Here is a 20,559-nt window from a genome sequence, read left to right as displayed (position 1 = left end):
ATAGGGTGGGTGTATGTTTGTTTAGTAGAGAGGCAATTTGTGTGTTTCCTACCACCTAAAATGCCCCTCTGAGACACACTCCAATCACTGCCAAGCCTTCCTTAACCATTGTAGGGTGATCGGCCCTCCTGGTTTGCCCACAACTGAAGGGTTTCCTAGGACATGGAACTTTCAGTGCTAACACAAGGGAAGTCCCAGACAGACCAGGATGAGCTGATCCCCCTACCACCCAGTCTACAGTGCCTTCTCTTTTCTCTGTACATCATAGTTTATCATTTGACTATTAATGTGCAGTAGTACAGACTTTTTTGGTAGGAGTCTCCTCACCTACAAAGGTTCATTGGAACAGGAGCTAGATCTTACGTATCTTTCACTCTCCCACACACCCAGTAGAATGCCTTCTACAGAGCACTGTCCAGATATGCCACTGGGGAATGCTCAGACATTCTCATAAGAATTTTAAGAGACTTAGACATTAAGGAACGCTTCTGAAGTAGACTCTAAGCATATAGGCAAAGCTGTATTACTCCCATTTTTTACATGAGAAAATATTCACAGATGAGTTTTCACATGTTCAAGATCATATGACTAGTAGGTGGGAGAGGTCAGGAAAAAAAAATTCACCCAACTCTAAATATTCAGAGTTCTGGGCTTTCTGCAAATATGGCCACCAGGCAATAATGTAACAACTGTGAGGAAACTAGATCAAGGATTACCAAGCAACATTTCTTAACTTGACCACAGATTTTTAGGAAGGGGATTGGGAGGACAGAGAGAATTTTAGAGGACTTTAGGAAACACTTCACTCTGCCATTTAAGCAGAGGTCTTCCCTTGGAGAGTTGTCTGGCCACAGTATGGTATGTGTAGTGAAGCAGTAAGAGAGAGAGCGGAGAGTTAGTTTGAGATTGGGCTACAGAGAGTGTTGAATACGATGCAAAATACATTGAACACAAGGCAATGACGTTGAAAGTATTCTAAAGAGACTTTATTGGGTGCACAGTGACTTGGCAGGGCGAGAAGAAGAGGTAAAGTCTTAATTAGGAGGCGTCACTGTGGTCTACGGGTGAGTCAGAAAGGACCCAAGCTCGAGAACACAGCCGCAGTGAGGCCACAGGCCAGCAATTGTGCTGGAGAGTCTAAGGCATCAAGTCAATCATCATTTTCTAAGAAATGTTTCACTTTTAATCTCAAAAGTCACTCAGGCCTTGTCATATCTATGTTACTACACTGGTGTTTTTGTTTTTGTGTGTGTGTGTTTTTTTCTTCGGGTGTGGCTTTTTAAAAATTACCATTTAATTTCTTAAGAAGTAGTCCCATGAACTTGTTCCAGAGTTCCCATCCCCTGCACAGAGCTGGTGGTTTTAAATATAGTAGGGTGGATGGAAAAGGTGTCAGGAAATTTGGGGGCATATCTTGTTTCAACGTAAAATAATGAAGAACAGCAGAGTTCTGGTGGCCAGGACACGGAGGCAAGATAAGGGTCACCCATGCAAAGGTTTCCTTGGCATTTCCCGAGGGCTCTTCATTAGCGAACATGCTTTCAGAACTGGTTGCTTAAAAAGCTAGCCCTCTTAGAAGGTTATAAAAAAGGAGTTCAGTTTTCCGTGGGAAACAACTTAGCTTAGTGGATTTAGGGACAGAATATCTGGATTCAAGTCCTGGATTCTCTACCTCCTGGTCATATGGCCTCTGGCAAACCCACCCACATTTTTAGAACTTTTTTTTTTTTTTGAGGCAGAGTTTCACTCTTATTACCCAGGCTGGAGTACAATGGTGTGATCTCGGCTCACTGCAACCTCTGCCTCCTGGGTTCAAGTGATTCTCCTGCCTCAGCCTCCCAAGTAGCTGGGATTGCAGGTGCCCACCACCACGCCCAGATAATTTTTTGTATTTTTAGTAGAGATGGGGTTTCACCATGTTGGCCAGGCTGGTCTCGATCTCCTGACCTCAGGTGATCCACCTGCCTCAGCCTCCCAAAGTGCTAGGATTACAGGCATGAGCCACCATGCCCAGTCTAGGACACTTTTTCTAGTCTGTGTGTCAGATACAAAAGAAGTTCCTCTTCAAAGGTTTAGCTTGTTCAGTGCCCTTGTTCTTTGTTCCCTACTTCAAGCCCAAACCAACTTCCTTATCCCTTATGCCTCCCTGTCTTAGTTTCAGTAAACAACTTTCCCGCCAGTCCTTATCTGCAAAGACCACATATGCTAACCCATTCTGCGAATTACCCCTCCTGTCGCAACAGCTCTTCCTGCCAAAACTGCCCTTCCCATTGGTATAACCACGTTCCTGCACCTCTCAAGTTAGCCAGTGGGGTTCAGCTTAAATTGTGCAGTCCAACTCCAGCTAATGGATACAGGACACAGTAGCAGGGACAAACTGCATTAGGGATAAAAGCCCCTTCCCCACTTTGTTCGGTGTGCTCTTGTGGTGACCAGACATGCAAGCAGCACCCTTCTGCAGAAGTAAATTTTGCCTTGCTGAGAAATCCTTTGTTTAAGTACTCGTTTTCTTTGCAACTCTGAGCTTTACTTCCAACATGTGGAGTGGGAATAATGGTACCTGCCTCTTTTACATGTTCACCATAATAAAATGAGGCAATGTGTGTGCCAGTGCTTCCTAAACCCGAAAGCAACAAAGTTCATTTAACTATTTCCCTGTTGATTGATTCTGTGCTTTTTATTTCCCTCCTTTTTGTGAGCATTCGTTCCCCATTAATTAGTTACTAATTATCATGATAAGTTCTTAATGTTGGCTGGCATTAATTATGTTCCAGAAGCTGAGAGCTTCATTTATGTTCTCTCTCTCTCTCTCTCTCCAAACTATGGCTTGTGAGACGACTATTAGCTTCTTCATCTGTTAAACTGGGCCAATGAGTCTCAGAGATGTTAGGCCACCTTCTTTGGATCATGCAACTGGAAGTCAAACCCAGAGCAGGCTGACTCTACAGCCTGAACTCCTAACATTTTTACTGCCTTGCACTTGAGTGAGATCTGGCTGTAGGAGGGCATCTTGGAGTCTGGGAAGGAACTAAAGCACTGTGTCCCTACCTCCTTATGGGGACAAAATGGAAGGGCTAATTGCGACTGCCTCTTTACCATACCTCTATCTGTTACAAGTCCAGCTTATCCTCAGGGAGGTCACATGTGGGCAGAAGTCTGAGTTTCTGCTATGGGTGAAAGCTCAGATGGTCAAGACATAGGGATTGAAAGTGCAACTGTGACATTCTTTTTATAGGATATGGACCTAAGCTTCTAAGGGTTTTTCTTTGTGTGTGTGTGTGTGTGGTTTTTGTTGTTGTTGTTGTTGTTTTGTTTTGACCATAAGAAAACCCTACAATCCCTGGTAAGGTAAGGTAGAGTAGGACTTTGGTCCCAGCATAGAGGTTTAGAAGGACAGGTATGGAATAATGAATTGAAAGTTGCAGAGTCTTGCTGGCCATCTCTGGGGACTTTTTGCGCACGAGAAACAGTGCAAGAAATATTTCATAGGGGTCCTGGGGCCCACCTATGCTGCTTAGGGCTTTGTATTAGGGTGACTGTGCCCTGTTCCCGTATATTAAAATCTTCCTGGGGAGAAGCATTTTCTCAATTTAGATTTTTGTAATTAAAAAGGAAGGCTTTAAATTGGGGCTACAGATACTAGGACAGTGAATGGACTGATCCAATTTATTTTTTTTTTAAGGCTGCAAAGTTTTTTGATAGAGTTAACAACCCAATTGTCTCAGCTCAATTTTCTTTTTATTTTTTAAAGAGATGAAATATGTAGCTAGATATAGATAAAACAAAAACAAAACTAAACCCTGAAATGTACTCAGTTCAAAAGCAAATAGAAGATAAATTAACAATGTTCTCTAGCCTGGAATGATCCAGTCTAGAGGAAGGAAAAAGTGAAATACAGTGGAGGTTAATATCCAAATACTGAGCTGGGCAGACACCTCAGCCTGCTACCTGCCCGTTCCTGCTCACATGTTGCACAAGGTCTTGTATGTCTGTCAGGTATGTATGTTATTATTTGGGAGAAGAAGAGACTGAGTGGAGAATATGCTGATTTTGCAGTTCTCAGTTTGATCTTCATAACATTCATATATCTTGATGTTTACAGGTATTCTTTTAAAATTGACACATAATATCTGTATATATTTATGGCTTATATTGTGATATTTTAATACCTGTATGTAAGTTATAATGATCAAATCAGGGTAATTAGCATATCTGTCACATCAAACCATTATAATTTCATTATGGGGACATTCAGAGTCCTCCCTTCTAGCTATTGGAAAATATAGAGTAAATTATTGTTAATTATGGTCAGCCTACAATGCTGTAGAACCCTAGAACTTACTCCTATCAAGCTATAATTTTTGTGTCCTTTAACTACCTTCTCTCTATCTCTCCTCCCTTCCTAGCTGCTAGTTGCCACTATTCTATTCTCTACTTCTGGGAGATCAATTTGTTTAGCTTCTACATATGACTGAGACCAGTAGTGGGATTGCTGGATCATATGGTAGTTCTATTTTTAGTTCTTTGAGCAACTTCCATACTGTTTTTATGATGGCTAATTCACATTCCCACCAAAAGTGTGTAAAAGTTCTTTTCTCCACATCCTCACCAGCAACTGCTTTTTTTTTTGTCTTTCTGATAATCACTATTCTAACTGGAGTGAGATGATATCTCATTGTGGTTTTGATTTGCATTTCTCTTATTATGATGTTGTACATTTTTTCATATAGTTGTCCATTTGTATTGCTACTTTGATTATTTTTATTATTTTTTTTTTTGCTGTTGAGTAGTTTGAGTTCCTTGTGTATATTCTACATATTAATCCCTTGTTGGATAAATAGTTTGCAAACATTTTCTATTATACTATAGGTTGTTTCTTCACTCCGTTGATTGTTTCCTTTGCCGTGCAGAGCTTTTTACTTTTATGTAATCCCATTTATCTTTGCTTTTGTTGCCTCTGCTTTTGAGGTTTTATTTCTACAGATATTAGCCTGAAGTATTTCTCTTATGTTTTCTTGTAGTAGTTTTTTAGTTTCAGTTCTTACATTTAGGTCATTAATTCATTTTGAGTTAATTTTGTATATGGTGAGAGATAGTAGTCTAGTTTCATTTTTCTGGGTATGGATAATCCCAGTGCCATTTATTGAAGATACTGTTCCTTCCCCACTAAATGTTCTTGGTGCCTTTGTTGAAAATCAGATAGCTGTAAATAAATGGATTTATTTCTGGGTTCTCTATTCTGTTCCGTTTGTGTATGTGTCTGTTTTTATGCAAGTACTATGCTGTTTTGGTTAGTACAGTATGTACTAACATTTTGTAGTACATTTTGTAGTCCAGTAGTATGATGCCTCCAACTTTGTTTTTTGTTTGTTTTTGTTTTTGTTTGATTAAGATTGCTTTAGTTGTTTGGGATCTTTTGCAACCCTATGTGGATGTTAGGATTGCTTTTTCTATTTCTGTGAAGAATGTTGTTGGTATTTCAATTGGAATTACATTGAATCTTTGTATCTTTTGGGGTAGTGTAGTTATTTTAACAGCATTCTTACAATCCATGAACATGGGATATTTTTTCTATTTTTTGTATGTGTTTGTGAACTCTTCAGTTTCTTTGATCAAAGTTTCAAAATTTTTAAGAAACTAGAAAAACAAGAACAATTCAAACTCAAATCTAGCAAAAGAAAAGAAAGCAAAGAGATCAAGCAGAACTAAATGAGATTAAGATGAAAAAATAACTATTATGCAATGAAGCAATGAAACAAAAAGTTGGTTTTTGAAAGGGTAAGCAAAATTGACAGACCACTAGGCAGGTTAATCAACAAAAAATGAGAAAAGATTCCAACTACAATCAGAAATGATAAAGGGGCCATCACAACTGATAATACAGAAATACAAAAGAACATCAGAAACTAATATGAATACCTCTATACACACAAACTAGAAAACCCAGAGGAAATAGATAAATTCTAGGACACATGCAGCCCCCCAAGATTGAACCAGGAAGAAATAGAAATCCTGATCAGACCATTAACAAGTCATGGAATTGCATCTGTAGTTAAAAAAAATCTTTTATCAGAATAAAATGAAAGGAAGAAAGGAACAAAAAATACACAAAACAACCAGAAAATAATTAACAAAATGAAAGAGGTCAGTCCTCACCTATAAATAATAACCTTGACTTCAAACAGATTAAATTTTCCAATTAAAAGGTACAGACTGGCTGAAAGGATTTAAAAAAGGAAATAACAGGACCCAACTACATGTTGCCTACAGGAAAGTCACTTCACCTTTAATGACACACATAGATTGAATTGAAGGGATAGAAATAAATATGCAAACAGAAACCAAAACAAAGCAGAAGTAGCTATACTTACATCAGATAAAATGGACTTTAAGTCAGAAACTGTAAAGAGACAAAGAAGATGATTATATAATGATAAAGGAGTCATTTCACCAAGAAGATATATGCAGTCAACACCAGGGCACCCAGATATATAAAACAAATATTAACAGGTTTAAAAAAGAAGTTAGGCTCTAATACAATAATAGCTAGAGACTGCAACACCCTACTGTCACCGTTGGACAGACCTCTAGACAGGCCATCAATAGACATTGAATTTTAATTCTACTTTAGGCCAAATGGACCTAACAGACATTTACAGAATATTTTATCCAACAGCTACAGAATACACATTTTTCTCATCAGCACATGGAAAATTCTCCAAGATAGGCCACATGTTAGGCCACAATACAAGTTTCAACAAATTTTAAAACATCAAAATCATATCAAGTCTATTCTCAGGCCACAATGGAATACAAAAGACATTAATAACAAAAGGTATTTTGGAAAGTGTACAAATGCATGGAAATTAAACAACATGCTCTTGGACAATCACTGGGTCAATGAAGAAATTAAGGAAATCAAAAAAAATTTGGAAACAAATGAAAATAGAAACTCAACATACCAAAACCTATAGGATGCAGTAAAAGTAGCAGTAGGAAGGAATTTTATAGCAATTAACACATACATCAAAACAGTAGAAAGTTTTCAAATAATCCAGTGATGCACCTCAGGGTACAAAAAAAGTTTCCCAGCAAAGAAAAGCCCAGGACCTGATAGCTTCACTTCTCAAATCTGCCAAACTAATAGAGGAGTTTTTATGTTTTTTTAGGTATATGATCATATCATTAAGGGACTGAGATAATTTGACTTCCTCTTTTCTAATTTGTATTTTATTCATTTTTTTTACGCCTTGACTGCTCTGGCTATGACTTCCAGTACCGCCTTGAATAGGAGTGGTGAGAGTGGACATCCTGTCTTCCTTCAGTTCTAGTAGGGAATGTTTTCAGCCTCTCTCCATTCAGTATAAAGTTGGCTGTGGATTTTTCACAGAAGGTTCTCATTATTTTGAGATATGTTCCTTTGATGTGTAATTTGTTGAGGATTTATTATTTAGAAGGGATTTTGAATTTTATTGAATGCCTTTTCTCCATCTATCGAGATTTTCATATGGTGTTTGTTTTTAGTCCTGTTTATGTAAAGAATCACACTTACTGATTTGCAGTTGTTGAACCATCCTTGTATCTCTGGAATAAAATTCACGTGATCATTATGAATTATCTTTTTGATGTGCTGTTGGATTTGTTTGCTAGTATTTTTGTTGAGGATTTTTGCATTTATGTTCATCAGGGATATTAACCTGTCGTGTTTATTGTTGTTGTTGTGTTCTTGCCTAATTTTGGTATCAGAGTGTTACTGGATTCATAGAAGTAGTTAGGGAGGGATCTTTCCTTTTCAATACTTTGGAATAGTTCCAATAAGATTAGTAACAGATCTCCTTTATATATCTGGTAAAATTTGCTTTGAATATGTCTGGTTTGGGCCTTTTTGTTATTGTTGTTGGAAGTAATGATTCAGCTTTATTACTCATTAATTGTCAGATCAGGATTTTATTTCTTTTTGGTTGTATCTTGGGAGGTTGTATATTTCCCAGAATCTATCCATTTCCTGTAGGTTTTCTATTTTATGTGTGTAGAGGTGTTCATACTAGTCTCTGATGCTCTTTTGTGTATTATCAGTTGGAATGTTCATTGTATAAATTATTTTATTGATCTCAATCTCATTTAGTTCTGCTTGATCTTTCTTTTCTCTTGATAGATTTTGGTTTGGATTGTTCTTGTTTTTCTAGTTCCTTGAGGGTCCACGTTAGGTTATTAATTTTCATCTTTCTATTTTTTTTTTTTGATGTAGGTGTTTAACATTATAAACTTTCCAGTTAGCACTGCTTTTGCTGTGCCCTAGGTTTTGGTGCATTGTATCTATTTTCATTTGTTTTGAAAAAGATTTCAATTTCTGCCATAAGTTTGTTGTTTACCCAAAGGTTATTCAGGAGCAAGTTGTTTAGCTTATGTGTACTTGTGTAGTATTGAGCATTTCTCTTGGTATTGATTCCTAATTTTATTTGTCTGTGGTCTGAGAAGATGCTTGATATGATTTTTAGGTTTTTAAAATTTATTGAGACTTGCTTTGTGGTCAGGCACATGGTCAGTTTTGGAACATTCATGCAGAATTGAGAAGAATGGATATTCTGCGATCATTGGATATAATGTTCTGTAAGTGACAATTAGGTTCATTTAGTCTATATAGTCCAATTTAAGTCCAGAGCTTCTTTGTTGATTTTCTGCCTCAGTGATCTGTCTTGTCATGTCAGTGGGGTGTTGAAGTCCCCCACTATTATTATATTTCTATCAATCTGTTTTCTTAGGTGTAGTAGTATTTGTTTTATGAATCCAGGTGCTCCAATGTTGGATGCATGTGTGTGTTAGTCCATTTTCACACAGCTGATAAAGACATACCCGAGACTGGGTGATTTATGAAGAAAAAGAGTTTTAATGGACTCACAGTTTCACATTGCTGGGGAGGCCTCACAATCATGGTGGAAGGCAAAAGGCCTGTTTTATACGGCAGCAGGCAAGAGAGAAAATGAGAACCAAACGAAAGGGGTTTTCCATTATAAAACCATCAGATCTTGTGAGACTTATCCACTACCACAAGAACAGTATGGGGGAACCACCCCCATGATTCAGTTTTCTCCCAATGGGTCCCTCCCACAACATGTGGGAGTTATGGGAGCTACACAATTCAAGATGAGATTTGGGTGAGCACACAGCCAAGTCATATCAACGTGTATTTTGGATAGTTGTATCTTTTTGTTGCATTAAGCTCTTTATTATTATATAATGCTCTTATTTGTCTTTTTTATAACTGTTGTTTGTTTAAGGTCCTTTTATTTGATATGAGGATGGCTAATCTTGCTTTCTTTTGTTTTCCTTTTGCATGATATATCTTTGTTCACCCATTTACTTTGAGTCTGTAGCTGTCTTTAGCCCAGAGGTGTTGTCTCTTATAGGCTGCAGGTGGTTGGATCTTGTTTTTTTAATCCAGTTTCCCACTCCGTATCTTTTAAGTTGAGCACTTGGGCCGTTTACAATCAAGGTTAATATTAATATATGAAGTTTTGTTTCTGTCATAGTGTTGTTGCCTAGTTGCCCCTGGGGTTTAAATTGTATAATTGCTTTAGAGAATCTGTGAGATTTTTACTTATATGGCCTTTTATGATAGCAAGTATCCTTTTATTTTCATGTCTAGAACTTTTTGAGTATTTCTTGCAAGGCCATTTTAATTTTTACAAATTTCCTCCGTGTTTGTTTGGGAAATACTTTATTTCTTCATCTGTGAAGGTTAGCTTGGCAGGATATAAGATTCTTGGCTGGCATTTTTTTTTTTTTTTGAGTTGGAGTCTCATTCTGTTGCCCAGGCTGGAGTGCAGTGGCACGATCTCAGCTCACTCCAAGCTCCACCTCCCAGGTTCATGCCATTCTCCTGCCTCAGCTTCCCAAGTAGCTGGGACTACAGGTGCCCGCCACCATGTCTGGCTAATTTTTTGTATTTTTAGTAGGGATGGGTTTTCACCGTGTTAGCCAGGATGGTCTCGATCTCCTGACCTCGTGATCCACCCGCCTCGGCTTCCAAAAGTGCTGGGATTACAGGTGTGAGCCACTGCACCTGGCCCATTTTTTTTTAAGGAGGCTAAAAGGCCACCAATTTTTTTGGCTTGTAAAGTTTCTGCTGAATAGTCTGCTTTTAATCTGATGGCATTTCCTTTATAGCTGATTAGACCTTTCTCTTTTACTACTCTTAGAATTTTTTCCTTCACATTGCCTTTGGATAGTCTTATGACTTTATGTCTTAGTGTATTTCTTCTTGCAATGTGTTTTCCAGGAGTTTTCTGATCTTCTTTTACCTGGATGGCTTAATCTCTCACAAAACCAGAGAAGTTTTCTTGAATTATTTCTTCAAATATATTTTTTATACTTTTAACTTTTTTTCCTTCTTCCTCTGTAATACCTACAACTCGTAGGTTTGGCTGGTTTACATAACATATTTCTTGAAGGCTTTGTTGATTTGTTTAAATTATTTTCTTTCCTTTCTTTCTTTCATCTGTGTGGGTCAATTTGAAAGACCTATCATACAGCTCTGAAATTATTTCTTCTACTTGTTCTAGCCTATTGTTAAAGCTTTCAACTGTATATTATAACTGCTACAGTGAATTTTTTATTTCCAGGAGTTCTGTTTCCTTAATGAAGCCTATCTCTTCTTTTATGTCTTGACTTGCTAATCTGATTTCTTTTCTGTTGGTTTTCAGCTTTCTCTTGGATTTCACTGAGCTTCTTTAAAATCAATAATCTGAGGCCAGGCACAGTGGCTAATGCCTGTAACCCCAGCACTTTGGGAGGCTGAGGCAGGTGGATCACTTGAGGTCAGGAGTTCAAGACCAGCCTGGTCAACATGGTGAAACCTCGTCTCTACTAAAAATACAATAATTAGCCAGGCGTGGTGGTGTGCGCATGTAGTCTCAGCTATTTAGGAGGCTGAGGCAAGAGAATCTCTTTAACCCGGGAGGTGGAGATTGCAGTGAGTTAAGATTGTGCCACTGCACTCCAGCCTGGGCAACAGAGCGAGACTCCATCTCAAAAAAGTACAAAATAAAATAAATTATTTGAATTGTTTACCTGGTATTTAGATTTTATCTTGGTTAGGATCTGTTGCTGGAGAGTTAGTGTTTCACTCTGTGGGTGTTGTAATACTTTTTTATTTCATACTTTTAGAATTGTTTCTCTGGTTTTTTCTCATGTGGATAAACTATCTTTCCTTTCTTGAGTTTGCTTTTGTTTGGATGGCATCTTTTTTCTACCCCTGAGGAAGGTATCCATAATATATGTTGTTATGTAGGGTCCTATGGCTTTGGTTCCAGGTGTCTTCAGTACCAAATAGTCTATTTTAAGTTCCTTGGTTTTAGATAGCTTTTATTTGGCAACTTTGCTAAATGCTGGTTGCAGTAACTATATTTTGGGCATATGAGCAGGCTCATTGCCTCCTTCTCTGGCCAGGGTAGTAGAGGTCTTAGGAAGCTTATCTTGTTCCCCAGTACTGTGCACCTGTTTCAGATTTCTTGTTATGTTTTATCTTTCAACCTCCGGGCCAGTAGGTGGTGCTTATGGGTAACAGCTGGCTGCATCCAAACTTGACAGGAATATACTTGATCCTTGTTTAGTGGAGGAAGCTCTCTCTTGCCTCAAGCAAGGGGCTGATCTTTGGAATGCACAATGATCTGAGTTCCCTGCTCAGTCCTAGGTAGGGGCACCAAGATGGGCAGGGCCAAACTAGGCAGACCTAATGGCAGTTACAAGCACCAGCTTTTGCAGTGGAAGCTGCCAAGGACTCAGAGATGTGTCTAGATGTGGAATTGGAAAACCTTCCCCGCCCCAAGTTTCTGGAAGGGAGAGGGGAATGCCCTAAACTCCTAATCTAGAAGAATGGGTGCTCCAAATGCCTGGAAGTATGTCTGAACATCAAGCTGAGAGAGTGCCATTGTACTAAGGTCTCTTCACCTGAAGGGAAGGGCAGCTCAGGCTTCTCATTAAGGCAGGCAGATGTGCCACATGCTCTGGGAGGGAGTGGAGAAACTGCTGTTCAAACAAGGTCTTTGCAGGGGATGGGAGGAGTGGGTCAAGCTCCTACTCTGGAAGAGCAGGTATGCCCCGTGTGAGATGATATGCCTGGGGAAGGAGCAGAGAGACTGCTGCCACTACAAAGTCTTTACATGAGACAAAGGGTGGCTGAAACTCCTTATCCATGGGAGCAGGTGTGACAAATGCCTGGAGTTATATCTGAATGTGAAGTGAAGGGAGTGATGCTGTACTAAGTTCTTTGTGTGGTAAGAGTATAACAGTTCATACTTCTATTCCGGGGGGCAGGTGCACTGAAGGCCTGGTGATATGTCCCGTCATGGGGAAGAGAATGTGCTGCTGCGCCAAGATCTCAGCATGGGAAGAGAGGGGTGGCTCAGGCTCTTATCCAGGGGAGCAAGCATGCTGCATACTTGGGAGTTCGCCCTGGAAAAACTGTCGCTGCAACAAGGTCTTTGCAGTGGGAGGGAGAGACAGCTCAGGCTACTAATCTAGGTGAGTGGGTATTTGATTGCCTGGAAATATATCTACTGGTGAGGAGTGGAGTAATTGGTTGTGCAATAAGGTCTTTGTAGGAAACTGGGGTAGGCAGCTCAAGAAGCAAATCAGGTGAGTGGGTTCTCTGAGTGCCTGGAGATCTCTGACTGTGGAGCAGAGACAGCCTTGCTGCACCATGGTCTCTGCAGAAGAAGGTTGAGGTGGCTCAGGCTGCTGATCCAGCCAAGTGGATGCTCCATATGCCTGGAGATCTACCTGGGCAAGGAGTGGAGTTGACCCTGCTCCACCATGGTCTCTGCATAGAAAGGATGAAGTAGCTCAGACTGCTAATCCAGGCAGATGGGTACTCCTTAAGCCTGGAAATCTGCCTGGGTGTGAAGCAGAGCCCCACTGTACCAAATTCTCTGCTTAGCAAGCGTGAGGCAGCTTAGGCTGCTAATGTAGGGAAGTGGGTGCTTCAAATGCCTGGATATCTGCCTGGGCATAGAGCATAGAGGGCCCTGCTACACCATGGTCTCGGGGGAGAATGCTGGGACTCCAAGCAATGACACACAGACCAGTTCCAGGTCACAAAGCTGCTCTTGGCTGCAAGTCTCACCTCTCAGAGGAAACCACAGTTTCAGCAACCCTCTTCCCACTCTAGTCCTGTGGTGGGAGATTGCCCAATTCCAGTGCCTACTGCTGGGGCATTTTCCACACTAGCTGCTCCATTGCAGCTGGGAGGCTTCTACTCCACTCCAAAGCAAGTGCTCCAGTCTCTAGTCTGAGACTAAAATGCCTGCGTGGCTGCATTGTTAGGTCACCAAACAATGACTGACTTTGTATTAGTGTGGATTAAAAATGACATCTTCCCCGTGGTCCAAGGTTGGGAAAATGCATGCAGCATTTTCCAATATCTTTCCCTCTCAGTGTCTCCCAGCCTCTCCTCCTGGTAGTTCCAGGGTTTGGGAGAATCAGGGTCCCCTTTCTTGGCATGGGTTGCACAGATCCCAAGTGGAAAGGTGAGTCATAGAGGAAAACTCTTTGCCCTTTTTATGTACAGGGGCTTCACTCATGTTTATCAGCCAAACACTATCACAAGGGCTGCTTGCCTACCTTTTTCTCAATGGGATTTGGGGTATCCTTCACTATTCTGGTGAATTCACATTTTCCTTCTTGAATTAAAACTCTTCAGAGTTGATCTTTACTCACTATTTTGCTATTTCCAAGTGGCTGAGGCGTGTTAAAAGCCTCCAATCTACCATCTTGCGGGAACAAAAAAAAAGTTTAGCTATTATTTTATTGAATAGCTTTTTAAAATCTCTTTTACTTCTGGAACTCCTAAATTTTGAATATTTATTCAGTTGATGGTGTCCCATATGTCATGTAGGCTTTCTTCACTGTCTTCATTCTTTTAATTCCCTTCCCACCCTTTTTATTCTTTGGTCTGACTAGGTTATTTCAGAATACTCGTCTTCAAGTTCAGAAATTTTTTTTCTTTTGCTCAGTCTATTTTTGAAGCTCTTGATTATCTCATTCATTTAGTTATTTAGCTCCAGGATTTCTGCTTGGTTCTGTTTTATATCTTTTTGTTGAATGTTTTATTTGGATTGTAAATTGTTTTTCTGATTTTGTGTTCTCTTATATCTCACTGAGTTTCCTTGATATTATTTTAATCCCTTTTCAGGCATTTTATAGGTTTCTTTTTCTATGGGGTCTGTTACTGGAGAGTTGTGCTCTTTGGATGTGTTATGTTTACTTGTTTTTTCATGTTTCTTTCATTCCTACGTTGATATCTGCACATCTGGTGGAGTATAGTCTTGCCTTCCAAATATATGGAGTTACTTTTGTGGAGAAATACCTTTTCCTATAGATGTTTCCTATGGTGTCTGTTGGGTAGGGTGCTTTGGCTTTTGTTCTAGATGGGCATCATAGTGTAGTCCCTGTCTGATTTCTTTGACTGTAATTAATGCCAGCAGTGTCTGAGATTTCCTCAGAATCTTAAATTGCGGGTGTTTGTAAAGGCAGTGGTGCAGCATTGTTTGTGATTGAGGGGGGTTGCAGGACAAGGTGGTTCTCAGGCCCTGGGGGGATGTGCCTGGCACAGTGGCTCCACTGGTTTTGGGGGTGGGGCTGCTGGCACTGCTGAACAGGTCACTCCTTAGTTTCTGGGGGATGTGCATGGCATTTGGTGGCTCTGGCCCTGGAGTGGGTGGGGTTACTCGCATTGGTGGGCACCAGGTGGGCCGCTCCTTGTGGACACATGGCATGCACAGCTCCACCTCTGGAGGAGGTATGGCTTTCTGTGATGGCAATCACTGGACTGGCTGCACTTTAGTTCCCGGAGGATGTGCACACATGTGCAGCACCTCCGCCCCTGGAGGGGTTGTTGGTGGCGGCAGATGTGAGGTGGTCAGCTCTAGGTCTCTGCTCAGCATGTACACTGGCTCCCCTAGTTCTGGGGCATCCTCCCCTCTGTGCTATGCCTGCTCCCTGGATTGTAGAGCACTGCATGGGCTCGGGGGCAGGGATGATGACTGCACCGTCAAGTCTAGCTGGGATCACAGCACTCAGCCTTTTTTGTGGGCACAGTGGAATGACGGCAGGGACCCAGCGACATGGAGATGTATATATAGGGGCTAATGGCCTCCAGGGCAGAATACGCTCCCCCAGTGGCTCCGTCCCACTGTGGAGAACATGTGTCCCTTCTCTGGAGCAATGTGACCTTGTGGACTCCAGGTAGTTTCCTCCACTGGGCTCAGGGCCTATGGGGACTGCGGGGCTAGCCTGTAGCTGGGATTGCAGGCAGCCTCAGTAACTATGGAGACCATGGGGGATCCCCTGCTTACCTTTCCCTTGGCCCTGAGCAGATCCTGGTCAGGTGTTTCGCTTCCCTCCCTATGCTGGCTTTCCAGATTTTCGTGCTTCAGAGGGTTTTTGTCACTTCCAGTGTTTTCCTTTAGGTACTCTACTCAAAATGCAGTTATTTATGTTGTTTTTGTCATTTTTGTGAAGGAGATGAGTGGTAGATTCCTCTAGTTGGCCATCTTGATCTATCTGCAGATATTCTTTGTAGCAAAAATATATAAATTTATTTAAGTCAGTGTTTCTCAAACTTGTCTTCAACACAATAAAAGTCCTGAGAAAGTACCACAGAAATGTGCCTTATGAAACTCAAAGAGGAGGATGTAGGCAGCTTTTCCTGAAAATTCTGGCCGCTAGCTCTTTTTCAGAGTTCCTCTCAACATTTTCCAACACATCGGTATTACTAACAGCAGCAGAAGGCATATCATTAGCCAGCATTTATCAAACACTTACTGTACACCTGGCACTGTGCTAAATAGTTTTCTTTCTTCCTAAGGCTTTGAGATATTGAGAGGATTTTTGTCCTTTTTTTTTTTTTGAAGACAGTCTTCTCGCTGTCACCTGGGCTGGAGTGCAGTGTTATGATCTCGGCTCACTGTAATTTCTGCCTCCTGAGTTCATGCAATCCTCCCACCTCAGCCTCCCGAGTACCTAGGATTACAGGTGTGCAGCAATACACCCAGCTGATTTTTTTGTATTCTTAGTAGAGATGGAGTTTCACTCTGTTGGCCAGGTCTTATACTCCTGACCTCAAGTGATCCGCCCACCTCGGCCTTTGTTTCCTTTATAAACCAGAGATGACAATAGCACCTAGCTGCAGGATTGTTAAGTAACCTTTGCAAGATTCCACAGCTGATAGGTAGTTAGTGCCAAGATCTGAACCCAGAAAACAGTGCCTGGCATTTGGGCCATGTTTCCTGTTCTGCCTCACTTCCCCAGCTCTTATACTCTTAACACCTCATTACCAGAGGTCTCTTGGGAAGGAGTCTTTTCCTTGCAGATTGAAGAAGCAGCTGACTTTCTGCAGGTGGTTGTGATGATCTGTGCACTGCTATACCCAGGGCCTTTCAGACCAGTGGCCAAGGCACAGGTCTTCACTAAGTTGCCCTCAGTGTCCTGAGGGAGGTGCTGGGGTGTGCAGGAGGAGAAATGTGGCTCTGAACTGAAATAAGGAGTTTTCCCCCTCTTCTGGCTTGTAGAAGACATCCAGTATGGTGGGAAGTTTGCTGGTCCAGTTACAGAGTTGTCTGGAGCAGCTCTTGTTGCCAGCCAGCTCCCAAGGTCGAGCCCCTCAAAAGGGCTGTGTGGGATAAGCCAGCGAGAAAGTAGCAACACCTTTGAAGTGTGCTGAACTTGCTCTAATTGAGCTCTTCCTATTGATTAGAATCTGTTTGCATTCACTTTCCAGCAGAAGGGTTTCTCCTGTTGTTCAGATGGCACAGAGCATTGCAGCAGGGCCGCATGTGCCACTGATGATACCATTAGGGAAAAATTAGCCAGGGTGCATTAGGCAAAGGAAGACAGGATCAGAGCCTACATTCTGCGTGAGCTGTTCCCTTTCCTTTTGTCTTGGAGAGGGTGGCTTTGCTGAGGTTGGTTAGGCTTAGCTGGATAGAGGGGGTAGAAAGAGAGAGACTATTTCTGTCCTGGAGATGAAAGGCTGCTTTGTAGTGGCACAGCTGCTCCCATCAAAGAGCTCAGAAAACATTTGAAAACATTAACTCATTAAGCCTACCTACTTTTGTCAAAGGTGGAAAGTTCCTCTCCCAGGTGCTTTTAGGCAGTGCAGATGCACGGTAGGGACCATCTTTTATTACAGTGGGCCATGGCTGTAGCGCATTGGGGGTGCCAGCAGGATTCCTGCCTCCCAAGAGTTTTTGGAATCCCTCATCCCCAAGGGGGGTATATTTTTAAGCTTTCCAAGAGTATTTTGAGTTCATGGTTGGTTGTTGCTTGTTCACTTGGCAATCACTAATGAGTTCTTTGTGCGTTGCACTGAACTTTGAGCATGGCCCCACCCAACACATCCCCTAAGCGTTTGCTCTACACTTGACCTTCCCTTGTCTCTATGTGGATTTGAGAAGATGGGAAGGAGAAGGCAGTCTGGGTTCTGCTGAGAATGCTTTCTTGAATAAGTAGTCACAGGTAAGCTCACACATAATACCCTGGCCCCAAAATCAGTGTAGCTGTCTCTGTATGAGTGGTTAAGGTCACGTGGTAAAGCACCCTGACTTTACTAAGAGGAAATATCTTTCCTCTCTCATTGGATACGGTGTTGGGAGGATGGTCACTGAAGGTTTTCTTTTCTCTTCTGGCCAAGAGGTAGATAGGTGATGCAAACTTAGGCTATCAAACATACCCTGGCATCTTTTTTCTTGGGGTTTTTCCAAACATTTTTATCTCTTATTATTATTATCTTAAAGATATTCTAAATCATATCAAGGTTGTTAAATTGGATAAAATTTTGGGTGATGGGCATAATTCACAGTGTCTGACTTCTTGGACCAAATGAAGTATTAGATTAATGTATAGAAGGATATCAGTAACAATAAAATTAAATTGCAACAATGTGAAATGAAGATGTAAAATAAATGAATGTTTTCACAGCATGCGAAGTTATGTAATGTTGTTTTTTTAGAAAAAAATCATAGCACTTCCAGCCCTGTAACACAAAACCATTCTGCAGCCTATGGCAGTGTCCCAAGGGCCCAGGCCAGGAAGCACGCACTGCCCTTGACCTGCTTCTCAGCAGTGGAACCTGGGACCCAGATTTGTTAGCCCTGGTCTTGCCAAGTCATCTGGGTCTGACCATTTAATTTTCTTGTGTAAAATGGGACAATCATTGGCCACTTCCCTGTGATCCAAGGAAGCACTTCGAGTGACATGTCTGTGGATCACTGCAGCCACCCAGCCAAACTCCCTGAAAGCTTGTTCCTGAGCAGAATGACTGAAGAATAAAAATGGTGAGGGTTTGGCTCTCCTAAAGGCAGTGGTTATTAGCGATTTCTGCTTTGAGGTCTCCACCGCTACTCTGGTCCTCTCCTTTCAAACCGCTTTGCCTTCGTTAACAAGCAGAAAGGAGTTTATTGGAAAGGTACTCAGTAGGAGATTCCCAGACTCAGTCTCTGTTTCTGCTGCTGGCATCATTCATTGCTTTTATCCCCCTCTCCTCTATACCCTCTTTCTTGCTGATTACATCTATATATACAATTTCAAATATAATTCTTATGCAGAAAATTCTCAGAGCAATGTTTCCAGCGCTGACATTTCATCTAGCTCCAAACATGGAGATGCTTGTGGGTCAGATAGCCACACAAAGGGCAAACTAGATGTCTAAACATGACACAGGAAGAACAGCTCTGTAGGGATGTGCTGTTATTAAACAAAAGTCAATTCTCCCTCTGACAGCCTTCCCTCAATCTCTACCTGCAGCTTTCTGGGTTGCTGAATCCCATGCATTCTTCTCTGAGCAATTTCCTGCAGGCATCTCTCCCAGGCCCCCTGCTGCACTTCATTCAAGTCTCCCTTATTTCTTGCCTGCTGCAAGAAATATGTGTGAGTGTGTATGTGTATGTGTGTGTGCGTGCGTGTACGCACGTGTGCATGCATCTGCATGTGCATGTGTGTGTGAAGTAACCTGGACAGGAGCAGTAGGGCTAATGGACTCTTTTTAGGCAGGGCCTGTGTTCTTTAAGCACCTGTGGGCTGTTTTGGTTTTCAGGCTGTCATCTCCAACCGTCTGCTATGGGGCTGACCGTGTTCTCCCATCATGCCTTTCATCCGGCTCTGAAGTCTTTGGTTGTGGTGTAAGGAGCCTATCCTCTGTGCCGAAACTCCCTAGAGCCTCCCATGGTAGCCCATGTGGCTAGAGTGTTGAGGACTTCGTGGGCTCTAGTAGGGGTGCTTTGGGAAAGCTAAGTTTGGGGAAACTCACTGTTCTCCCAGTGTGCCCCTCAAGTTCTTGCCGGGACTTCTGATGCTAGTTGGAAGTTCACCTTCTCTAAGAAGGCTTCTCTCTCTCTTATTAAAGTAACCTCTCTAAGCCTCCATCTCCTTTTCTGTAAAAAGGACATGAAACCTCTCTCAGAGCTTTTATGAGGACTACTACAAGGAAGATGGCACATGTGCATGGACTTCATTTCTACCGAATCCAGTACGGATGGGCAGGGTGGACCCATCCTGCCCCGTCCTTCTAGCTTAGAGGGAGATTTGTGTTTGCTCCTTAGTGCCCTGGAAGCCTGGGGGGCTGGCCAGAGAGGGAGTCTGGATTGCCTCCGTGCCCTCTGCACGGGAACCTTTGGAGTAGAGAGAAATGCAGGAGAGGCAGGGCAGCAGACTGAGGGGTAGGCATGTAGGGGAGGGACACGAAGGTTTCCAGTGGGGTAAGAGCCAGCCTCTGCAGTGGCTGTTGGGGCCAAGGCATCATTCCTCTTTGCCAGGTTTTTGGGCCACTGAAGGGAAGTGATTCACTTCCCGCTCCAGCAGGCCTGGTTTCAGAGCTACTCTGGCTCCCCTGTCTTTGTTGGAATCCAGGATAATGTGGGGTAGGGGAATGCAGGTTGTGAACATCTGCTAATGGTTTTCTAAGCACCCTTTCTAGGAATAGGACCTATAATCCTATTTTGCAGTTGACTAGAGGGGAAAATTGATTGTGGGTTGTAATCGATGTGATTTCCAAACAACAGCAGAGTCTTAAGAGGGGCGTCTCCCCCAGAGTTTTATGAGGAAACTCATGAAATAAAGATGAAAAGGGAATTCAAGTCCAAAAGTCCTCAGATAATGACCTGTCCTCTGTTTAGGTGACTTGCCAGGAGTAGAAAGGCCTGGAGTCAGTATCAAACTCAAGGTCAAATGCTCAGGTGTCGCATACTGGTGGCCCATAGATGTTCTTGGTTTGGACTGCATAGTGTTTAAAAAATCTAATTAGTGGCTAAGAGAACAAAAACAGGCGTTTACATAAAAATCAGAATTTCCATTGTCTGCTTAAAGCCTGGAGGATGTGGCTCCTGGACCCTGAGTCAGGCATGTCAGGAGCTGACAGGCAGTGGGACCCTTAGGTCTGGCGCAGGCTACCCACCCGCACCCCTCGCCTCATATCCCTTCGATGAGTGAGGTCCCCAAGTTTGAGCCACACTGGCCTCTGAAGGAGATGGGATTGAGACTCCCTACTTCACAGACTCCCTGCCCACC

General features: G+C 42.0%; 1 pseudogene across 1 annotated transcript in view, besides 1 other annotated feature; it reads left to right on the top strand.

The window, feature by feature from the left end:
- LOC100420587 (SHC binding and spindle associated 1 pseudogene) overlaps nucleotides 1-20,559 on the top strand; it is a 292,307-nt pseudogene that overhangs the window by 57,700 nt on the left and 214,048 nt on the right. The gene's annotated exons all lie outside the window — the stretch shown is intronic.
- Nucleotides 2,079-2,373: an enhancer, noted in NCBI's record as "tiled region #5210; K562 Activating DNase matched - State 9:DNaseU". NCBI's record gives its function as "activates a minimal TATA promoter and a strong SV40 promoter by Sharpr-MPRA in K562 cells {active_cell/tissue: K562}" and the evidence as "EXISTENCE:reporter gene assay evidence [ECO:0000049][PMID:27701403]".

Source organism: Homo sapiens, chromosome 19 (genome assembly GCF_000001405.40).
Source record: "Homo sapiens chromosome 19, GRCh38.p14 Primary Assembly".
Classification (NCBI taxonomy): domain Eukaryota; kingdom Metazoa; phylum Chordata; class Mammalia; order Primates; family Hominidae; genus Homo; species Homo sapiens.
The sequence above is the reverse complement of the archived record's forward strand: the minus strand, read 5'-3'. Positions and strand labels throughout refer to the sequence as shown.